The sequence below is a fragment of the Homo sapiens genome, chromosome 20, assembly GCF_000001405.40.
Source record: "Homo sapiens chromosome 20, GRCh38.p14 Primary Assembly".
In the NCBI taxonomy this organism is placed as follows: Eukaryota; Metazoa; Chordata; class Mammalia; order Primates; family Hominidae; genus Homo; species Homo sapiens.
This window is the reverse complement of record NC_000020.11, coordinates 49,404,613-49,425,664: the sequence shown is the minus strand read 5'-3', so window position 1 is coordinate 49,425,664 and position 21,052 is coordinate 49,404,613. Positions and strand designations below refer to the sequence as shown.

Genomic DNA, 21,052 nt, shown 5'->3' with positions numbered 1-21,052 from the left:
ATATATATATATATTTGGCCTTATCACTGAGGCTGAATTAGGTGCTTTCTCCTAGGGTGGTCTTGGTAGTGTGTCTCTGAGAAGGTGACATATGAGCAGAAACCTAAAGGGAGAGCTTCCCTTCTGGGGGAAGAGCTTTCCAGGCAGATGGAGGAGCAAGTGCAAAGGCTCTGAGGCAGAAAAGCAACTGTATGTTTGAGGAACAGCAGTAAGACTAGTGAGCTAGAGTAGAATAAGAGAGGGGGAGTGAAAGGGGATGAGGACGGGATAACCAAATCCACTTCTACATAGGGCCTGTAGGACCCAGGTTCTAATTAAAATGAACAACTGAGAGGACAAGGTGATGAATGGATTTATGAATGAATGAATGGATTCCAAGCTGCTTTCATGGGATATTCGTATTTGGTGTTAGTGTGTGGGTGTGGCTGATTCGCCCTAGGTTCTGAAGTCTTCAGAATTATCCTGGAAGATGATCTTGGTTACCTTCCCAAGTTGCTGTCAGTCTTCAGAGGTTGTGACACTTGGATAGAAGCCTCAAATTGGGCAGGGCCTCTGGGAGAGCAACTATGAGACAGACAAACCAAGAAGAACCAAGGCAGGAAGAGATGGTGCTCACCAAAATACCCATCACGCCAAGTGTGCTCATTCCCACCAGCCAGGGACCCCAGGCTTCCATAGAGTACTGTGACCTGGACAGTGAGCCCATGAATCTCCCTTGTCACCAAGTCCTCACATCCCTCCCATCAATCCCTGGCAAACCCATTGGGGATGCCGTGCAGGGGGCCTGCTCCTGTCCTCGGCCGCACTCAGCCTGTGAGACTATTTTGTGCCTTGGTTCAGGCACTGGCATCCCAGCTGCTGGCAAGCGACTCAGATGGCGTTGTCATGGCGACCCTCAGGCACGGATTTCCAGAGATGCTCCCTGCATCCTCCCGAGCCTGCCACTGCTGATTGCTGGGGGAGAGCATGACTCACCGTTAAATATATCACGGTCGTCCCAAATTGGCTGCTCAGCCCCAGCAGCCGGATGTAGGGACAGGCAGCATCTGGGGGTGTGTGGGTTTGGGAAGCTGAGAGGCATGACCTTCTGTGTACCTTTGGGGCCTTCAGCTCCTGTCATTTCCAGCGGTTCTCTTCTCCAATCCCCTACTCATCTCTCCTTCCTTTCCCAATCGGTCTGGGTAACAGTCCTAGCTTTGTTACTTGTTAGCTGTGTGATCTTGAACAAGAAGCTTCAATTCTCTGGGCCTCAAAGTCCTCATCTGTAAAACAGGGGTGATGTGAGTATGACGGAAGAACTACGAAGGGTCCGAGATTTTGCACTGCTCACAAGCTAATGAGTTAGCCTGCCACAATGCCATACATGACGGCAGAAGACACGAGATCCCAGGTCAGAGACAAAGGACTTTATTAGTCACAGTATAGCAAGCAGCACAAGCTTCATATTTGCGTCAGTTCTAATTGTCTCCCAAGTTCCATGAGAGCAATGAAAACAACCCAAATGGATTCTGCACACACAGCAGCAGATCTGTGTCTCAATGGAGGATCCCAGAGCTTAGGAAACCTGCAATCTTATAAAGGGGCTATTGCCAAACCTGTCTAGCCTTTGCCTCAGATAGAGACATTATTGTACTGGTTGGGAAACAACTCTATCCTCTTCTTTCTGCTCCAGAGAGAGATATTGTCTCTGTCCTCCAAGTGTGTTTGCTACACAGATGTCCTTGAGATGATAGTCTAGAACAAAGGTCTCAGTGTCTTTTGAGCTGAAGACATGCAGACCTTGGAGAGACCCATGGAGAATTATCTCCCAATACCACTTCAAAGGGCTTCTTGGAGGAGCAGATGGGTTCATACCTGTAACATGCTCTGTATAGTTGCCTGGCATGTGCCTGGCACTTAATCAGTGTTAGCACTTGTCATTATTACTCTCAGCTTTTATCACTTGTCAGCTAGTAGGAACTCAGAGGCCTCCTGTTCTGGGATTTCCCCAGTTAGGTGACTAAGAAAATCACAGCTTCTATCCTTTCCAGCCAGTACATATCCATTTATCTCCTATGCCCCATGAAGCTCTAACAACTCCACCCTCCACCCCTTGTCCCCTCCCTCTGACTCCCCTCTGTTCTTTTTTTTTTTTTAAATAGCTTTATACCATAAAAAATTTTAAACAGCCTTATGGAACTTTATACCATAAAATTCATTCATTTTAAGTGTGCAATTCAATAATTTTTAGTAAATTTACAGCATTGTGCAGCCATCACTACAATCCAATTTCAGAACATTTCCAAAAGAAACCCCATGCCAATTTGCATTCACTCCCCACACCCCTTTCACCCAGGCCCAGGCAACCACCAAGCTGCTTTCTTTCTCTATGGATTTGTCTCTTTGGGACATTTCACGTAAATGGCATCATACAGTGTGTGGCCTTTTGCATCTGGCTGCCTTCACTCAGTATCATGGTTTTGAGGTCCGTCCATGGTGTGGCATGCATCAGTAGCTCACTCCATTTTATTGCTGAGTAGTATTCCTTTGTACAGGCATACCATAGTTTTTGTCCAGTCACCTTCACTGGATTCCTGAAAGGATATTCCAAGATCATGAGAATAAAAGCTCTTGTGCACCATCAAGTGTAGAGCAGACATTGACTGCTATTGCCCACATCACCCCTTGGAGCTTGTCCTGCCATCCTGGCCCCTTGGGGTGTTCTAGCTAACATAAAATAAGACAGATGGATACTTTGGCAGGCAGAGTTTTAGAGACTTTTAAAATCACATGACAAACCCACTTTGATGAAAAGCAAGCAAAGAACCAGTCCAAACCCTACTCCAACAAAAAGAGGCATTCACAGTTTTTTTTTAAGAGAGGGGATCTCAGGCTGGGCGCGGTGGCTCACACCTGTAATCCCAGTACTTTGGGAGGCCAAGGTGGGCGGATCATTTGAAGTCAAGAGTTTGAGACTAGCCTGACGAACACGGTAAAACCCCATCTCTACTGAAAATACAAAAATTAGCCAGGCATGGTGTCATGCACCTGTAATCCCAGCTACTCGGGAGGCTGAGGCAAGAGAATCACTTGAACCTGGGAGGCAGAGGTTGCAGTGAGCTGAGATCGCACCACTGCACTCCAGCCCGAGCAACATGGTGAGACTCCATCTCAAAAAAAAAAAAAAAAAGAGATGGGGTCTCATTCTCTTACCCAGGCTGGAGTGCAGTGGTGCAACCAGAGCTCACAGCACACTTGATCTCCTGAGCTCAAGCACCCCTCCCACCTCAGCCTCCCGAATAGCTGGGACTACAGGCATGCGCCACTGCACCCAGCTTCACAAAGATTTTGTAGGCTGAACTTCCCCTGTCTCTTCCCAGCTCCATCTCCATGGCAGCCCCACACAATAAATAAAACAGGAAAGGAATAGAAGGAGAGGTTTCTGATGCTTGCCTATAGAGCGGCCTTATTTCCTTTGATAGTCCAAGTAGGACGATAGCCACCAGGTAATTCCACATTCTGTGAAAAATATATAAGATCCTGAATTAAGGGAAAACATTTGTTCTCCACTTTTGCCACCTCCACCCTGGCCATAGAGGATCCCGAGGTGTGTTTGATTAGCAGAGGATTCTATCTCAAATAGGGAAGACTCCTAGACTGTTCTCAGCTATTCTCATTGACAAGGCTAGGGAGTGCCAGAGGGAAGTCAGCAGATGATGTTTCCTGACCTGATTTATTGGTCTTCCTTAAAATAACCCCAGGCCTCTCTGTTATTATTAAAATCCTACATCTGGATTGGGTTCCTGCAGGGCCCAGGAAATTCCTTCCCAGTTGGGAAGATGTTCTATTTCTCTACAGCCACATAACACACCACCCTCCAAAACTTAGTGGCTTAAAACAAAACATTTATTTGCTCGTGAATCTGCAGTGTGGGCCAGGATGGACAGGCCTGGTTCATTTCTGCTCTGCACACAGCCTCCACCGGGGCGGCTCAACTGGGGCTCACTTGCTCGCAGGGCTGGAAAGATGTTGCTGTCTGACAGTTCCCCTCCATGAGGTGGCTTGAGTTTCCTCACAGGAGGCATCTGGTTCCAAGAGTGATCATACCAATGAGCAGGAAGTGAAAGATACCAGTTTCTCAAGGTCTGGGTCCTGAAACTGGCACTGGGTCATTTCTGCCATATTCTACTGAACAAGCAGTTGCAGAGCCCAAACTCAAAGGGAAGAGACAAAAGCCTTGTCTCTTGATGGAGGAATGGCAGAGAATGTGGGGATTATGTTTTGAGACTCACATGGTTGGCAAGTCCATGGCATGTCAGTAGGCCAGAAGGTTTTGGAAGAAAATGCTCTGCAGGACTGTTACACCATAAGTGCTCATCCCAGAACAAGATATTTCTTAGAACTTCACATTGGCCAAAGTTGGTTTCGGCCAAATGTCACGTGGCCTAGCAGGCCAAATGTGAAGTGGTTCCCCAGCTTGTCTGTTCTCTGTCCTCAGGCCAGTGTCCCTACCCCCCACCTCCTTGAAGGGCTGTGCAGGAAATCCAGACCTTCTTGCCCAGCCTTGGCCACGTGTTTTCTCCGAACTGGGGAGACCCACAGGTGAGTCAGCAGGACATCATGCACATGGTGGCCTGGGTCCCGAGAACATCTGCTTTAATGGAGTCCAGAGAATGTTTCCAAACACGTCTTCCCTCTCCTCTCACCAAAGCTTTTAGGAGAAAATGTCCAGAGCTCTCTGGATGTCTTCCAGGAACACATTGACAATGAGTTGTAACCTCACCCTGAACTCATGGTGCTGCATGACTGGCCACCTTTGTTGTTTGGAAGACCTAGAATCCTTGTTTTTCTCAGGCCCTGATCAGCAGGGCTGTGCTTATCTGCATGGTTGTCTTAACAACAAATCACCAGTGCCAGTGTCCTCTGAGGATCTTTTCTTGGCTTCATGGTGAGAAGACCAGAGTTTGAGGGCTGACTTTTCCTCTTAGTGGTGAGAGACATTGGGCAAGGTATTTTACTTCTCTTAGCCTTGGTTTCCTTTTCTGGCAGGAAAGTTTGGAGCTCACAGTTTCCTTCAAGCTCCACATAGTTCTCATGGTGTTTGTTTGACTACCTTGAGGAAACAGAGTGTACCTTGCCTTCAACCACAAAAATACACTGACTAATGAGTATTGTTGCTACAGCCACCTGGACATGTGGCCATAAACTGCCCAACCCATGGTGTAATGCTGGGTTTGCCTTTCATGGAGAGAGAGATTCATGAGACATTTCAGAGGACTCTCTGTTGTCCCGGAGTCCTGAGGAGTCTGCCTGGAGACCTGGAACTCATTTGTTTGTTCTTTAATTTGTGTCTACTGTATGCCAGCCCCTTGCTAGGCATGAAGGACACAACAATACAATCAAGAAAAAGAACAAAGACCTGTGGCTCTTAAAGCTTGCATTCTAGAAGCAAAAGGAGAACACTAAAGAAATAAGAGACAAATATATAATATCACTGCATATATGCAAAATGTCAGGAGTAAGGGGACTGGTATTCATGGGGTGTGGGTGCCATTTGAAATAGAGTGGTCAGGGAGAGCCATTCTGGGGATGTGAGATTTAAGCAGAGACCTGAAAGACACAAAGAAAGGAAACAGGCCTATATATGGGGCTGGAGTGTTCTAGGCAGAGGGCACAGCAAGTGCAAAGGCCCTGAGGCCAGACCATGCCTGTTGTGCTCCAGGAACAGAGGGGAGGCCAGCATGGCTGGAGGGGAGTGAGCAAGGGGAGGAGTAAAGGGGATCAGGCCAGAGAGATACGGAGGGGCCAGGCCCTGCAGAGCCTTGTGGGCTGTTCTAAGGACTTTGGCTGTTGTCCTCAGTATGCTGGGAGATAGGGAGGTGTTTTGAGCAAAGAAAAGTGCCCTGGTCTGGCTTAGGTTCTAACAGGATCCGTATGGATGAATCTGGAGAATGGACTGTGTTTTATTGTACGGGCCAGGATGGAAGCAGAAAGACAGTGAGGAGGCAACTACAATCATTCAGGTAGAAGAGGATGTGGCCTGGCCCAGGGCAGATCTCTGGGGGTGGTGAGAGGTGGGCATGTTCCAGGTGCCTCCTGCAGGCAGATCTGGAAGGTCTTGCTGATGTGGTAGATATTCTGAGACTCCCTGTAGCTGGTGGCTCAGCGAGCCTCCCCCATCACCAGCCTCAGCAGGACAGTCTAGACTAGAGTCATCCGCCTCTGCCCTGCACTCTGCCTGCCTGGTGATGAGGGGCCTCTCCCATCCATGCCGTGGGCACTGAGGCACCGAGCTAGGCCCACCCCTGGCTTCCCCAGGTGGTGAATCAGAGGGAGCTCTGGATTGGAGACTTTTACTCTATGCATGACACTCCTTAGCTCTGTGACCTTAGACAAGTTCCTTCCCCACTCGGAACCTCAGCTTTCTTGTCTGTAAAGTGGGAATAATGAAACCAACACTGCTACCTCCTAGGGTGGCTGGGAGAATCAAGTGAGATACAGGCTGGACACAGGGTTTGAAGCCAGCGCAGGGGGATGGTCATGAATGAGTTAAGCGTGTGTACATTATTAATAGTATCATTTCATCCTTTCTACCATCTCATGGGCTGTTGGGAAACTTTAACGTCGATTCAGATCAGGCCATGGCTACACTAAGTCAACATCTCTCACTTTGATTTAGTGGCTAAAAAGCCTGGGCTCTGGAATTGTTCAGAACTGGGTAGCACTCCTAGCTCGGCGCTGTGAGATGCTGTTTCCAGAGGAGACAGCTTAAAAACCACAGACATTCCCCTCCAGTCCGCAGCAAGACCAGCTTCACAGGGTGGGAATTTTCTCTTGCCCATGTTCAGCAGATCTACATCCCCAGGGGTAGGCCTGGCCCTGCCTCTGTGCCTTGGTCAGCCTGTCCCCATCCCCTGGGAGCACCTAAATTGGGACTGTGGGCTGCTGTTCCTCCTGAGAACTCGGGTTTACTGTCCCTGTTCTCGGGCCTCCCTTGTCTCTTTCACTCCCTAAGGAGAATTGGGACAGGGTCCCTCCAGCGGAGAGAAGCCTGGAAGACTTCTATTTTTTTGAGACTCCTGGAATATTAATTTATAAAGAAAACAACAACAAAATGAAGACATCCCTAAAGTTGCAGTACATTTAAGATGTAACATTGAGCAAATCGTGACAACCTGCATAAAATCACAACATAATATAAATGTGTAACTCACATAACTCACAAGATAACCCCAGGATTTATTCGATTTGTTTATATATTCGTATTTTAAACCCATGGCATTCTCTAGGAGTGGTTCAGTAAGGGATGCAGGGGTAGTGTTGTTTGAGGAATGCAGTCTTTTTTCGTTGTTATCATTCTGTCCCTGTTTGTGTACCTAACCCATTTAGAGATAAGGTCAAAATTCTAAAAATACTGGAATGTCAGTTTTCTGAATAGCTACTATATTTCCCTAGTATGAAAGTCAAAGTGTTCAAAAGGGCACACAGTGAAAAGTTCTCTCCCACCCTGTCCCCCAGCCACCCCGTCCTCCTCCCCAGGGGCAGCCACTGTTACCAATTTCCTGTGATCGCTTCCACAAATAACATATCCATATATAAGTGAATGCATATATGTACATATTCTTTTTTCCTTGTTTTATTGAAATGGGAGTTTGTTATACATTCTGTTCTCGCGGTGCTTTGCTTGCTAACAGCATACCTCGGGGACTGTTCCCTATTTATGCATATTGAGCCATCTCTGTTCTTTTTACAGCTGCATAGTGTTCATATTTACAGCTGCATATAAATGACCCTCTGTTGAGTTAATTTTTCCCTGTTGATGGACATTGAGGTTGTTTCCAAACTTTTTGATCGAATAAACAATGCTGCAGTGAATAATCTTATACCTATATCATGAAAACTCTTGTTTAAGATCCTTAGAAGCCAGGCGCCTGGGTCCTGCCCATAGTTACATCTACTCAGGAGGCTGAGGCGGGAGGTTCCCTTGAGCCCAGCAGTTCGAGGCTGCAGTGAGCTATGATTGTGCTACTGCACTCCAGCCTGGGTGATGGAGTGAGATCCTGCCTTTAAAATAACAATAATAAAATAAAATAAAGATCCTTAGGGATTGTGAGGTCTGCAAGGAATGGCACTCCCTTTTGCCCACACCAACCCCTTCCTGGGAGCTGAGGCTTGAATGAGGAGGGCAGTCCCAGAGTGGGGGAAGAGCATTCCAGGCAGAGGGAGCTATAGTGCAAAGGCCTGGGGTAGAAATGAGCTCAATCTATGGGAGAACAGCAAGAAGGCCACTGTGGCTGCATGGGACCATGTGAGAGAAGGGTAGTAGGAGATGAGGTTAGAGAGGACTTTGGGGGACAGGTGAGATTTGGTGAGATGGGAGGGAATGAATGAATGAAGCCTCCAATACGATAAGCGAAAAAACATGATATTCCAAGAGATAGGCGTGGTCCTCCCCCAAATTTTGGTTGCTGGGAAGACTGGCAGTCCCTCCCCAGCTGGATCCCCTAGGCCTTTTGCCAGCATCACCTACAGAGAGGAAAGAGCCGTGGGCTCTGTCACAAGGCTGGGGCTCACAGCATCACAGCCCCCACCCCCTGCACCACCCCAATAGCTTCCTTCAGTGGACTTAGCTATGGCCTCTCCCAATACCCACGCTGGCCTGGGCCAATCACATTTCAGGTGGATGGGAACTCGCGGGACCACCACTTCAGCCACCTTGGGCTCTTTGCCGTATTTATATTCTCAAGGCGTCTGCTGCTTCCCTTATTCTTCCCCCTGTCCTTACATGGCCAGACCCACTGTTCAGCTCACAGGTCACCTTCTCAGGCCACTGAATATCAAGTTGCATCCCCACCTTCTTTCTCCCACCACCTACCCAGCCTGTCCCATCCCCTCAATGTTTGGAGCCACCGTGAAGGGCGATGGTTAACAGCTTGAGTTCCAAAGCCAGGCTGCTCAAGTGGAACCCAGGAGAAGCTGTGAGCAACCTACTTTCCAGCTCATCCCCTCATGAGGTGGAGGTGATAGAGCTTCCACCTCTCAGACCGGAGCAAGATTCAACAGGTAAATACACACAAGCCATTCTGAACGGTGCCGGGCAGATGGTCCTCAAAAAGCTTAGTCCTTTGCCTTTCCACCTGGTGCTGATCCCTGTCTTAAATGATCTGTCTTGTTTTTTAGTAGAGACAGCGTCTCACTGTGTTGCCCAGGCTGGAGTGCAGTGACACAATCATAGCTCACTGCAACCTCAAACTTCTGGGCCCAAGTGATCCTCCTGTCTCAGCCTGCCAAGTAGCTAGGACTACCGGTGTGTGCCACCACACCTAAGTGTGTTTTGTTTTGTTTTGTTTTGTTTTTAGAAATGGGGGTCTCACTATGTTCCCCAGGCTGGTCTTGAACTTATGGCCTCAAACAATCCTCCTGCCTTGGCCTCCCAATGTGCTGGGATTACAGGTGTGAGCCACTGTGCCCGGCTGATCTATCCTTTTATGCGTTTATGTATGTGTTGTCTGTCTCCCCTCTGAACCATGAGCACAGGAAGCATGTATTATCATTTGGGTTCAGCTCTATGCCCCAAGTGACATTTAAACAGGCCTTCAAGGAAGAGCTGGAGTTAGCCCAGGCAAGAGGAGTAGGGAGAGAACACAGCCCATGTGAGACCTCTGGGATCGGAATGGTGTGGGAAGCAGGGAGCTGCATGGCAATAGGGGTGCCGTTAGTAGGACTCAGATCCCGTAGGGCCTTCAAACCTCAGTGAGAAGTGTGGATTTATTCTGAAGGCACTGGGGAGCCATAGAAGACTCTAAAGCAGAGGAGCGACAAGATTAGATCTTATAGAAAGATCCTTGGGATTCTCTGGAAGGAGGAGTCAGAGGAGACAAGAGTGAGAGCAAAACCACATCGAAACATTATTGCCTTTCTAGAGTCAGACAGACTTTCTCCCTCTGCTCGTGCTCTCCCTCCGCCCCTCTCCATGAACAAAACCGTAACTCATTTTCTCCCTCTGGCTGGCCCTGGCATCCTTCCTCTAATACCACTCATTATTTTAATTAAACTCTGGGATCTGTTTTACTAACCTGACATCTTGCTTAGGAAAACCAAAAGAGGAGTTGCCCGGAGCCAAGGAAGGGAAGTTGCCAGAGGATCGAGGAAAGGTTTCCATCTGCCCTGTGGCAGGAGGGGGCCCCTCTTACCCAGGTCCAGCACTTAAAGGGGCAGCCATGCACCATGCTTAAGGATATGAGCACTGCGGTGGCCTCTGAGCTCCATCACTTACTGGGGAGAGTGACGCAACCTCTGAAGCTGCTTCCTCATCTATAAAATGGGGATATTAATAGTTCTTCTCTTATAGGGTTTTGTGAGGTTTAAATGAGTTAACACAGTGCTTTTCAAACTGATGGTCATAAAATCAATCTAAGGGATCACAACCACCACTGAAAACCCAAGAACAGAAAGTATCAGAGTACATTATCATCATGGGGATACGTCTTGTGGGTGGAGCGTTTATTTCAGGGTATGTGTACTCGCCGGGTTTTTTTTTTAGAACTATATTTATTACTCTGGTCCCCAGTCCAGAAGGCTTGAAAGCTACAATTAAAGTACTTAGGCAAGTGCATGCAGCAGGTGCTCAAACTGTGGTTGCTGATATTTCTTGTGGTAGCAAGAAGATTTTCCTTTTTATTTCCCTGCAATGTCATTGGGTTTTGCTCCATCTTACTCATGGGGAGACTGAGGCTCACAGAGAGAAGAAGCCATTCCAAAGCTACATGACCACACTGAGCTGTGAACTGTGGCCTGACCCTGCCTGAATATGGCCTGAACTCCCATCCAGAATCTTCGTGAGGTCGAGGGAGGGTCATGTGGCTGCCAATGGCATAATGAGAGCTCCCGGCAGCCAGGGTCTGGCAGGATGCAGGAAAGAGGCTGGTAGGGGCATCTGGGGCTGGGCCACCCTTGGCTGTGGCCCTGGAGGCAGCACAAACCCCTACCCTGGAGATCTCTCCTCTCCACACCCACACCTGCCCACAGCCCATACCCCACAGTTACCAAGGGAAACAGGCGCCAGAGGGGAAAGGCTGCATTTCCCTCCTTCCTTGTGGGCTTTCCAGAAACCAACCCATCTAGAAGAGCTCTCCACGTGGAGCAGGGGAAGATGAGCGGCTGAAGTAGGGCAGATCTGCAAACTTCGGGGGCTTTCAGGAAGATTCCATGAGGCAAGGACTGGGAACCAGTGCCTGCCTGAGAGGCTGAGGGGCAGAAGATCTGGGTCCCAGCCTTGGTTCTGCTCTGGCAGGGCTATGTGCCTGGGGCCCCGTTCCTTCCCTTTCCTTCTGGACCTCAGCTTCCACATCTGTACAGTGGGTGTGGTAGCTCCCATGATCTTCAGGGGCCACACCACTCAGATGTCTCGAAAATGCTCCCGTTGAGTGTGTTTCTAGTTATGAGAGGTCGCTTCAACATCCCCACTAGGGAAGGTATTGTGTATTCATTCATCCAGCAAACATTTACTGAGTACCTACTGTGTAACAGGCAGCTAGTGTTGCACAGGGATCAAGACAGACATAGTTCCTGTCCTCTCAGGGAAACTTCATTCTAGTGAATGAGACAATTACCAAGTCAAGAAGGAAATGATGAGTGCTTCCAAAACCCTGAAAGAGGGTCATGAGATAATAGATGAGGATAAAGTGGCTAGGGTGGCCAGGGAGGTCCCTCTGGGGATAACGGATGAGCTGAACGCTGAAAGATAAGAAAGACCTGCAGAGATCTAGGAGAGGAGCATTCCTGGCAGGAACTGTAAGTGCAAAGGCCCTGAGGCTGGACCCAGTCTGGGATATTGGAGGAGCAGCAGGGCCAGTGGCTGCAGCAGGTTTAGCTCAGCTGGTGGATGTGAGTGGAGAGAGGTAGCCGGGGCCAGATCAGACAGGGTCTTGAAGGCTGTGTGAGGCGCTGGCTTTCATTCCAGGTGCACTGGGACTCCACTGGGGGCTTTTGAGGAGGGCAGTGGCAGGATCAATGCATGCTTTAAAAAGAGTGTTCTGATTGGAAAACAGACTGCGGGGGTGAGGGAGGACATAGGGACAGCACAGGGACAGCAGTGAGGAGGCCACTGTAACAGTCCTGGTAGGATACATCAGGGGCCTGGCCCAGGGTGATGATCGGGGAGGCAGGAGAAGTGCTCAGACTACTTTGAAGGTGGAACCCATGGGATTTGCCGATGAACAGAAAGGAGTCGAGGAGGGCTCTTGGGTCACAGCCTGAAGATCTGGGAGGATGGAGGCACCATTTGCCAAAAAAGGCAAAACATAGTACAGAGCAGGTAGTGGGGGATCAAGAGCTCTTTGGCCTTGTTAAGTTTGAGAAGCCCAAGCGACATCCAAGTGTCAAAACAATCTTCCTCCCACCCAGCAAGGCCCGAGAGCCCAGATAGAGGGTGGAGGGGAGCCTGCCCGGGGTGGAGATTAATGCACATAACCCAGTTCTCTCTGCCCGTGGCTATTTGGGTCACTTGGACTGCAGGTCCTCACCCCTCTGAGCCTGTCAATCACCCCCACCCCACCCTGTCCCTGTCCTTTTCAGTCTCTGGAACCTGCTGCCAGGAGAATGCTCAGGGAGGGAAATGCTCAGGGAGGCACACCTCTCTCACTGGCTCCTCGATGAACCCTAAATTTCCCTGCCCCTTTGCCTTTGCTCTTACCGTACCCTCTGCCCAGAATTCCCTTTCTCCTCTTCCAATCTCACACATCCAAATTCTTTTCATCCTTTTATGTCAAGCCCAGAAGCCTCCAAGAAACTTCCCCAGTTCCCACGTAGACTAATAAGAAGAGTATTTTGAATGCCTGCTGTGTGCCAGGCTCTCTAAAAAGTGCTCTACCTTTCTGATCTCATCGAATCTTCAGAGGCAGAGATTATCATCTCCATTGTATTCATGAGAAAGTTAAGGTTCAAAGGGGTAAAAAGTCACTATCTTGAGGTCATATGAGCAAAGTGGCAGAGTGGAATTTGAACTCTATGATTTCTGTTATGTTTCATAAAGCAACTTAGGTGCTTACTCTGCTGAAGGGGCTCTGGGCTTCTTGAGGGGATAGATTGAGTTTATTTAGTTTTTGCATCCCCAGAATCTGCCACAGGCTCTCCATAAATGCTTGCCGAATGGATGGATGGATGGATGGATGGATGGATGGATGGATGGATGGATAGATAACAGATGAACAAATGGACAGATTACTGAACATATAGATGGTGCATAAGTAGACAGATAGATAGATAGAGTAGGAAAAGAGAGATAAGAGAGGTATGAGAGAGAGAATTTCTAGCTGGTGGAAGAGGGAAAGAGCAAGTGCCAGGCGCACGCTTCTATGCCTGTGGACACGTAAGGCCCCAGGCATCTGCTCACTTCTACCATATCCATTGGCCATGCCTAGCTGTAAGGGAGGCTGGGAAACAGTCTCTATTCTGGGCAGTATGTTTCCCAATGCACATCAGTGGATCTATAACACTAAGAAAAGGAGAGGTTGGATAACAGGGACATATTCTGCCCCACTTAATATCCCATCTCAGTATTTTTTTTCCTTCATAGCACTTATCACAATCTGCTATTACCTTGTTTATTTGTTTATTGTCTGACTCCCCTACTAGAAAGTAAGCTTCATTGTGGTAAGGAATCTTGACTATCATGTTCACCACTATATCGCCAACAGTACAAATGAATGAAAATTAATTAACTTATTAATTAAGGCAGCTTGAGCTTTTTCCTTCCACACTAAATTTTTTCAGAGTTTTCTTTTGTCAACATGTAATTGCACCCTGGGGGAGATGTCAGACATGTGGCTGTCATCATGAATGCAGCAGTGCCGAGAGAGTGGCAAGTCCCTATTCTACAAAAACACAGTTTAGCTGAATGTCACTTAGGGAATGTCATGTCAAAATAATGTAATAAAAATACCAAACATGAATAAGACGGAGGAGAATGTTGGGAGCGTGAAGTCCTCAGCGGGCCTGCAGCAGTCAGACCTAATTACTCAGGCAGGCTCACCCCTACCAGATAGGGTCAGCGCAGGAAAGGGGACTGCAAAGCGTGCCCGGGGCTGCAGCTCAGGTGGCCAATGGCCCTAGAAGCCCCCTCCACCCTCTAAGCTCAAAAGACTGTCTTTCCTGCCTGACCAGCCCAGCCTTTCCCACCTAGGCTCATATGAAGGCAGAGATTCTGGTTTTAAGAGATAAGGTCACTGGTTCTGAAATGTGGTGTATCTGTGGCCTGTGTGGCTTCCACGAGACAGTGTACTGTGGTTAATAACAGGGGCTCTGAGCCCAGCTCTGCCTGAGTTCAAATCTCACAGTTATCTCTTGCAACAGAGACCAAATGGTGCACAAAGACTAAAATATCTACTATTTCTGCTGTGGAACCTTGCCCGAGGATTCCAGTCTCTCTGAGACTCCGTTTCTTCATCTGAACATAGGGCTGCCTATCTCATCAGGGTCCTATGAGCTAAGACATGTAAAGCCTCTGGAGCGGGGGCCAGCAATCCAGGGCCTGTGGGCCACATCTAGCCCACCCCCTGTTTTGGTACAGCCCTCAAGCTAAGAACAGTTTTTACATTTTCAAGTGGCTGAAAAACATCCAAAGAAAAATATTGTTTCGTGACATGTGAAAACCATATAAAATTTAAATTTTAGGACCATCAGGGTTTTTGGAACAGAGCCATAACTCACAAACTCATTTCTGTTTATCTGTGGCCGCGTCTGTGCTGCCCTGCAGAGTTTAAGGGTTGTGACAGAGATCATGCGGCCCCCAAAGCCTAAAATATTTACTCTCTGACCCTTTTACAGACAAAGTTTGCTGAGCCCTGGTTTAGAGAGCATTGCCTTATTCAGGCCCTTAGGGAAGCAAGTGTGGAGTGGGCCCCAGGCTGCATCTATTAAGCACCAACTGTGGGCAACCTCTTGGGTTAGGCACATTATATTTGTCATCCCTTTCACAATACTCTGAGGTCAGTGTGACTGTCCCCACCTTATAAATGAAGAAACTGAGACTCAGCCAGGCACGGTGGCTCACGCCTATAATCCCAGCACTTTGGCAGGCCAAGGCAGGTGGATCACCTGAGGTCAGGAGTTCCAGACCAGCCTGGCGAACATAGTGAAACCCCATCTCTACTAAAAACACAAAAATTAGCCAGGCATGGTGGCAGGCACTTGTAATCCCAGCTATTCAGGAGGCTGAGGCAGGAGAATGGTGTGAACCCAGGAGGTGGAGGTTGCAGTGAGCCAAGCTCACACCACTGCACTCCAGCTTGGGTGACAGAACAAGACTCTGTCTCCAAAAAAAAAAAAAGAAAGAAACTGAGGCTCTAAGAGGTGGTGGAAGCTCCTCACCCTGGCCTTCAAAGCTCTGCCTGATTAGCCCACAGTCGCCCAGCTGGGTAAGTGTTAAAGCTGAGATGTGAACCCAGGGCCTTCTGATTCCACTGAGCCCCCTGCTTCTCCCCCTCACACATACTGCGTGCCCTGTTGCCTGAAGTAGCTCTGGAAACATGCCAGCAGCTATGTCTCTCCAATGCCGGACAGAGGAATCACGTGGAAGTGTTTGTAAAGATGTGAACTCCTGGGTCCTAGCACAGATCACCTGAATCATTATCTCTGTGGAAGACCCTGGGATCTTCATTGACAGCAAACTACCCCAGTGGATTTCAACACCAGGAGAGTGGTTGGGAGGAGGAGGGCCCCATAGGCTCTAGCTGCCAGGGAAGGTTTCCTGAGGAAGAGTGGGCAAATCAGGGAGAGGAGAGGCCACCCCAGGCAGGGGATCCTGTCTGAGCAAAGGTAGGGAGGCAGGAATGAGGCTGCTGTGTGCAGCGAGGTGTCGCTTGGCCCCTCCTGATGCGGGGACAGGCTGCATACAAGCCAGCCAGGTTTCGGGGGTTGAGTGACGGTCAGGTTCTCCCATGAGCCCTGGTGCTTCCAAGAAGTAAGGCAGCTCATCCACCCAGGGCCCAGAGCCTCCTCTTCCTCTAGGTCCTTAAAATAAATTGCAAGTTCCTCACCCCGGCCTTCAAAGCTCTGCCCGATCTGCCACCCGCCTGCCTCTCCATTATCATCTCTGGCCACTCTTTCCTTTGCTTCTTCCACACCGGCCACACTGGCCTCCTTTCTGGTGCCCAAACACGACCGTTCCTATCTCAGGGCCTTTGCACACGCTGTATCCTCTTCCCCACAGTGCTTGGCCTCAGACCTCTGCTTAGCAGGCATCCTCAGAGGGGCTTTCTTAACCCTCTGCCTCCCTCCCATTGGCACTCTCTCCATCGCCCACTAACTCCCTCCCTGCCATTTCATCTGTTTGTTGGCTCCTCTGCTGTCTTGGGGACAGTGACTCCCAGAGCCCAGCACAGTGCCTGGCACACAGAAAGCACTCAGGACATGCAACCGAATGGACATGCAACGTGGAGTGTGTCCAAGCCAGAGAAGGGCTGAATGGCGGCTCAGGACTCCCCTCTTGGTTACGTACTCAGCACCCAGGGGACTGCTGGTTAAAGGCTTGGGGTGATAACTGTGGCATGAGAGTGGACAGAGGGGCACTGGGGAGAATTCTCCAAGGATAAAGCAAGGCAGTCAGAGAGGCGCTTGCCTTCGTCCACCCTCCAGAGAGGAGAGCCCACTGTCATCTTCTGGAATCCACCAGAGCATCCCCTGCCTCCACAGGCCCAGGAGCTAGTGGCCACCCCAGGTCCCCTCATTGAACAAGCCCTGGGCCAGCCCTCCACATCCGCGTTCCCATTAAATATTCACAGTTCCACGATTAAGGAAGTCTCACTGTCTCCCACTGCAGATGGGGAAAGCAAGGCTTGGAGCGGTGAAGGAATTTGTCCTGGGTCTAGCATGAAGCTCCAATGCTGGAACCCAGTGCGGAGCCTGTTTTTCCCACCATTGTGTTGTGGCTGCCACCTCAGTTCCCACCATTCATACCATTCTCCCATCCTCCCTCGTGTGACATTGTCAGAGAGTCCTTCTGAGACCGCAGCACATCACCCTGGGAGACGGTCTCAAAGACACCTTCTGTTTCCATTTCCAATGTAACTTTGTGGCTCAGTTCAAACCAGGAAGGCAATGAATGTTGAGGAGAGGAGGCATAGAAAACCCAGACCCAAAGGAAGTCAATTTTCAGAAACAAAACTGCAGGGAGGCCGGGCGTGGTGGCTCACGCCTGTAATCCCAGCACTTTGGGAGGCCAAGGCGGGCGGATCATGAGGTCAGCAGATCGAGACCATCTGGCTAACATGGTGAAACCCCGTCTCTACTAAAAAATACAAAAAATTAGCCAGGCGTGGTGGCGGGCGCCTGTAGTCCCAGCTACTCCAGAGGCTGAGGCAGGAGAATGGCGTGAACCCAGGAGGCGGAGCTTGCAGTGAGCCGAGATCGCGCCACTGCCCTCCAGCCTGGGCGACAGAGCGAGACTCCGTCTCAAAAAAAAATAAAAAAAAAAATTTAAAAAATTGCAGTAAATGGGCTGGGGGCGGGGGGGGTCAAGGTATCTGGGCTCAAATCCCAGCCCCAACACTCCCTTTGCTGTGCGACTTTGATCAAGCTAGTGACACTCTCTGTGCATCTGTCTGCAATTGTGGAAAACAGGAGTCTTAACAGACAGGCGCCTATGTCCAGGGTGCTATCAGGTTTGACCCAGTATAGTCAAAATGTGAGCTGGAGAGGCAGGCCCTGCCCTGGAAAGCGGAGGCTAGAGGGAGCCAGGGCCTAGTGGGGAGAAAGCATGGTGACGGTGCAGTCAGAGGACAGCTCCAGACAGCGGCAGGAAGGCTGGAGATCAGTCACCAAGTACAAAGACCACGGGGTCCTGGGGCCTTCCCAGGAGCCAGAGTGGCCCAGAAGGACTGGACTTTTAGGCGGGGCTTCTCAGCCTCCGCACTGGTGACATTTGGGGCTGGAGAGTTCTCTGCTGTGGGGCCGTCCTGTGATTGTTCAGCAGCATCCCTGGCGTATACTCATTAGAGGCCAGTAGCGACCCCACACACAACCCCCACCCAGTGTGACAATCAAAAATGTCTCCAGACATTGCCAAATGTCCCCTGGGGGGTAAAACCGCCCCTGATCAAGAATCACCGCTTTTAGGTGGCATCTAATTTACAAAGTTGGTAACCTTCACACAGGTCTCAGCTCAAACACCTCCTGGTCTCTGGCAGGTAACAGCCAGGAGCAGGAGAATTCAGCCCAGGAGCTGCCAGTTTGAGACTTCTGTCCCAGAAGGTGAGGCTGACCCTAGAGGTCATCTCATTGTACAGATGGGAAGACTGAAGAAGAAAGACTTGGCCAAGGTCGTACAGCGGGACGGTGGCAGAGCCGGGCCTAGAACCATTCTCAGTTTCCCCACCAGTCTCAGTTTCCCCATCTGTAAAATAATGAGCTGGACCATGTGGTCGGTGGCTGCTTGGCAAACTCTTCTCCCCACAAGACTCAAGTGGTGTTTCCTGCAGGAAGTCTTCCCTCACCTGCCCCCAGCTAACGTAGACGTGTTTCTCCCAAGCAGTGGGAGGGTCCCTGTCTCCCTTGCCTCAGCTTTGCATCTGTCTCTCCCCGCTGCCAGACGGAGGAAGACTAGGTCTTACTTGCTTTCGCAGACCCTCTCTGTGCTGACCCAGGGCTGATCATCTTTTAGCCTTGCCATAAATTTAAAATTTATTCATTTTTATTTGCCTATGATGTATATGAAATATACAGCCCTTCACTCATTCAATCAGTGACTAAAACACACCAGGCACTGCGCTAAGCACGGCAGATATAGCAATAAATGCAGCAAGCACGATCCCCGCACTGGAGCGCCCAGCTTGGTTGGGGAGATGGGCATTACAGCTAATTCTACAAATAGCTGAAGCTAGTTCGCAGGACCCAGAAGAGGGTGGAAGAGTGAGGTGCCCAGGATGCAAAATTGAAGGAGGAGCTCGCTCTCAGGGTGGTGCATGTGCACTTTGGTTCTGATAAGTGCCGCAAAGAAAAAAAGTGCAGACGCTCTGAAAATATGAGCAGAGAGTTGGAGCCTAATCAGGGAGGTAGAAGACAGCCAAGGAAGGCCACCTTGCATGGGTGAGACGTATAAACACGTGCACCTTCCAGGGTCACAGTTTTCCACTCCCAGAGCCCAAGTCCCCTTTATAAATAACAAATATTTTGTTAACTTCTCCCACCACTTCGTATTCTAAAATGAAATTCACAGATAATATACTATATATGTAACTTCAAAAAAATCAATATCATTCCCTAACTTTAGAACGAATAATTACAAGGACGTTTGTATTAAACTTGTGTGTGTTTCAGTATGCAAATGCCTGGTCAGGACAACAACACCAGAAAACACCATGAGGTTGTCAGATGCTTCCACTATACATAGAAGCACCATGAGTGTGACCGTGACAAAAACAGAGGTACAGGTGTGCTGGCAGCTCTGATATCCCAAGCAGCACTGACATCAGCTGCATGACTTTTCCAATACGATGAATAACTCCTGGTAAAGTTCTGAACAGAAGAAAGTCCAGTTCTTCCCTTGCTTCACCAGGCGTTGCCATTTCTGGAAAATTCAGGGTAGATTAAAACATTGGCAAAACATATTTGGCGGGTTTATATATAAAATGAAGTTACAGTCTAAAATTAATTTAAACAAGTTGTTGTTCACCTACCTGAGTATCCACTGGGACACTCCAACATTGAGCAGGACAAGAGAAGGTTATCCATGAGCAGGGCTGTCTCGTGCATTACAGGTCGCCTGGTGTCCTCAGCCTCTGCTCACTTCATGCCTGTGGCATCCTCTCCCATCCTTGTGACACCCTCGCACATTTTCAGGGCATGTCCTTATGGGTAGTGCCACCCTGCTGAGAATCACTGGATCCAACCTCCAGCTAACAGTGGCTCCTGCTCAGAAGATCTTGTTTTTTGTTTGTTTGTTTGTTTGTTTGAGACAGAGTCTCGCTCTGTCACTCAGGCTGGAGTGCAGTGGTGCGATCTCGGCTCACTGCAACCTCCACCTCCCTGGTTCAAGCAATTCCCCTGCCTCAGCCTCCCAAGTAGCTGAGATTACAGGCACCCACCACCACACCCAGCTAATTTCTGTATTTTCAGTAGAGACAGGGTTTCACCATGTTGGCCACACAGGTCTTGAACTCCTGACCTCAGGCAATCCGCCCACCTCGGCCTCCCAAAGTGCTGGGATTACCAGCTGTGAGCCACCACACCTGCCCACGGATCTTGTTTGTTATCTGTCAATCTTTGCATTCCTAATGGTTTGTTTACTTGCACTGTCACGATCAGGGTCCTTTGCACACTACGAGTGGCTTGTCTTTGCCTCCAATTTGTGCACCTCCCTGGTAATTATCCTTGGAAGCAGAGGAGGCAACACAAGCACAAATAAAGATTCCCAAGGCAGCAGCCCCTGGCTAAATCCACGGTGATTGTCTTGGCCACTCCAGCCTGACTCCGGGGACATTAGCCAGCTCCCACGTGTGATTACAGCCAGAAACAGGCCATTTGTGTGGTCTGGAACCCCTGCTGATTGTTCCTTGGAAAACCTGAACCAGAATGAGCTCTTCTATATGCCAGAGAATTTTAGCTAGAACAGAGTTTCACACCTGGGCATCTAATGTATGAGACTTGAGAAGGAAGAGAGACAAAGAAAAATTCTTTTATTTTTCTCCTTCACCTGTTGGCCTTTCCCTAACCACCCCCACCCTACCCTCTGCATTAGCTGGTTACCTTCCTGCCTCAAACAGAGAGGCCACATCTGGGATAAAATGCATCATTTCCTGGCTTCTGAGCTTCCAGTTTTCAGGTCCTCACAATATAAAGGTAGGGATTTTCAAAAGTAGGTGATAGATATTCATCTTACTGGTTATCGTTGGAACCAAACCCATGAGGATATGACTCTACTGTCCATTAATCCTAATCTTCCCCATCACCAGCAAGGTAGGTGTTCTCATTCCCATTACACATGAGAAAGCAGAGGCTCAGAGAGGGCCGTGACTTGCTCAGCCCCACACTGCCAGTGAGTGGTGGGGTGGGGTTTGTCCCAGATCTGCTGCCACCA

General features: G+C 49.3%; 1 protein-coding gene and 1 long non-coding RNA gene across 3 annotated transcripts in view, besides 2 other annotated features; one reads left to right on the top strand and one right to left on the bottom strand.

Annotated features, from left to right (window-relative positions):
- LOC105372649 (uncharacterized) overlaps positions 1 to 21,052 on the bottom strand; it is a 108,687-nt gene that overhangs the window by 13,356 nt on the left and 74,279 nt on the right. The window lies entirely within an intron of this gene.
- KCNB1 (potassium voltage-gated channel subfamily B member 1) overlaps positions 1 to 21,052 on the top strand; it is a 119,486-nt gene that overhangs the window by 57,698 nt on the left and 40,736 nt on the right. The window lies entirely within an intron of this gene.
- Positions 362 to 885: an enhancer, noted in NCBI's record as "H3K4me1 hESC enhancer chr20:48041317-48041840 (GRCh37/hg19 assembly coordinates)". NCBI's record gives its function as "activates a minimal SCP1, AML or CMV promoter by ChIP-STARR-seq in naive H9 embryonic stem cells {active_cell/tissue: H9 hESC(naive)}" and the evidence as "EXISTENCE:reporter gene assay evidence [ECO:0000049][PMID:30033119]".
- Positions 886 to 1,409: an enhancer, noted in NCBI's record as "H3K4me1 hESC enhancer chr20:48040793-48041316 (GRCh37/hg19 assembly coordinates)". NCBI's record gives its function as "activates a minimal SCP1, AML or CMV promoter by ChIP-STARR-seq in naive H9 embryonic stem cells {active_cell/tissue: H9 hESC(naive)}" and the evidence as "EXISTENCE:reporter gene assay evidence [ECO:0000049][PMID:30033119]".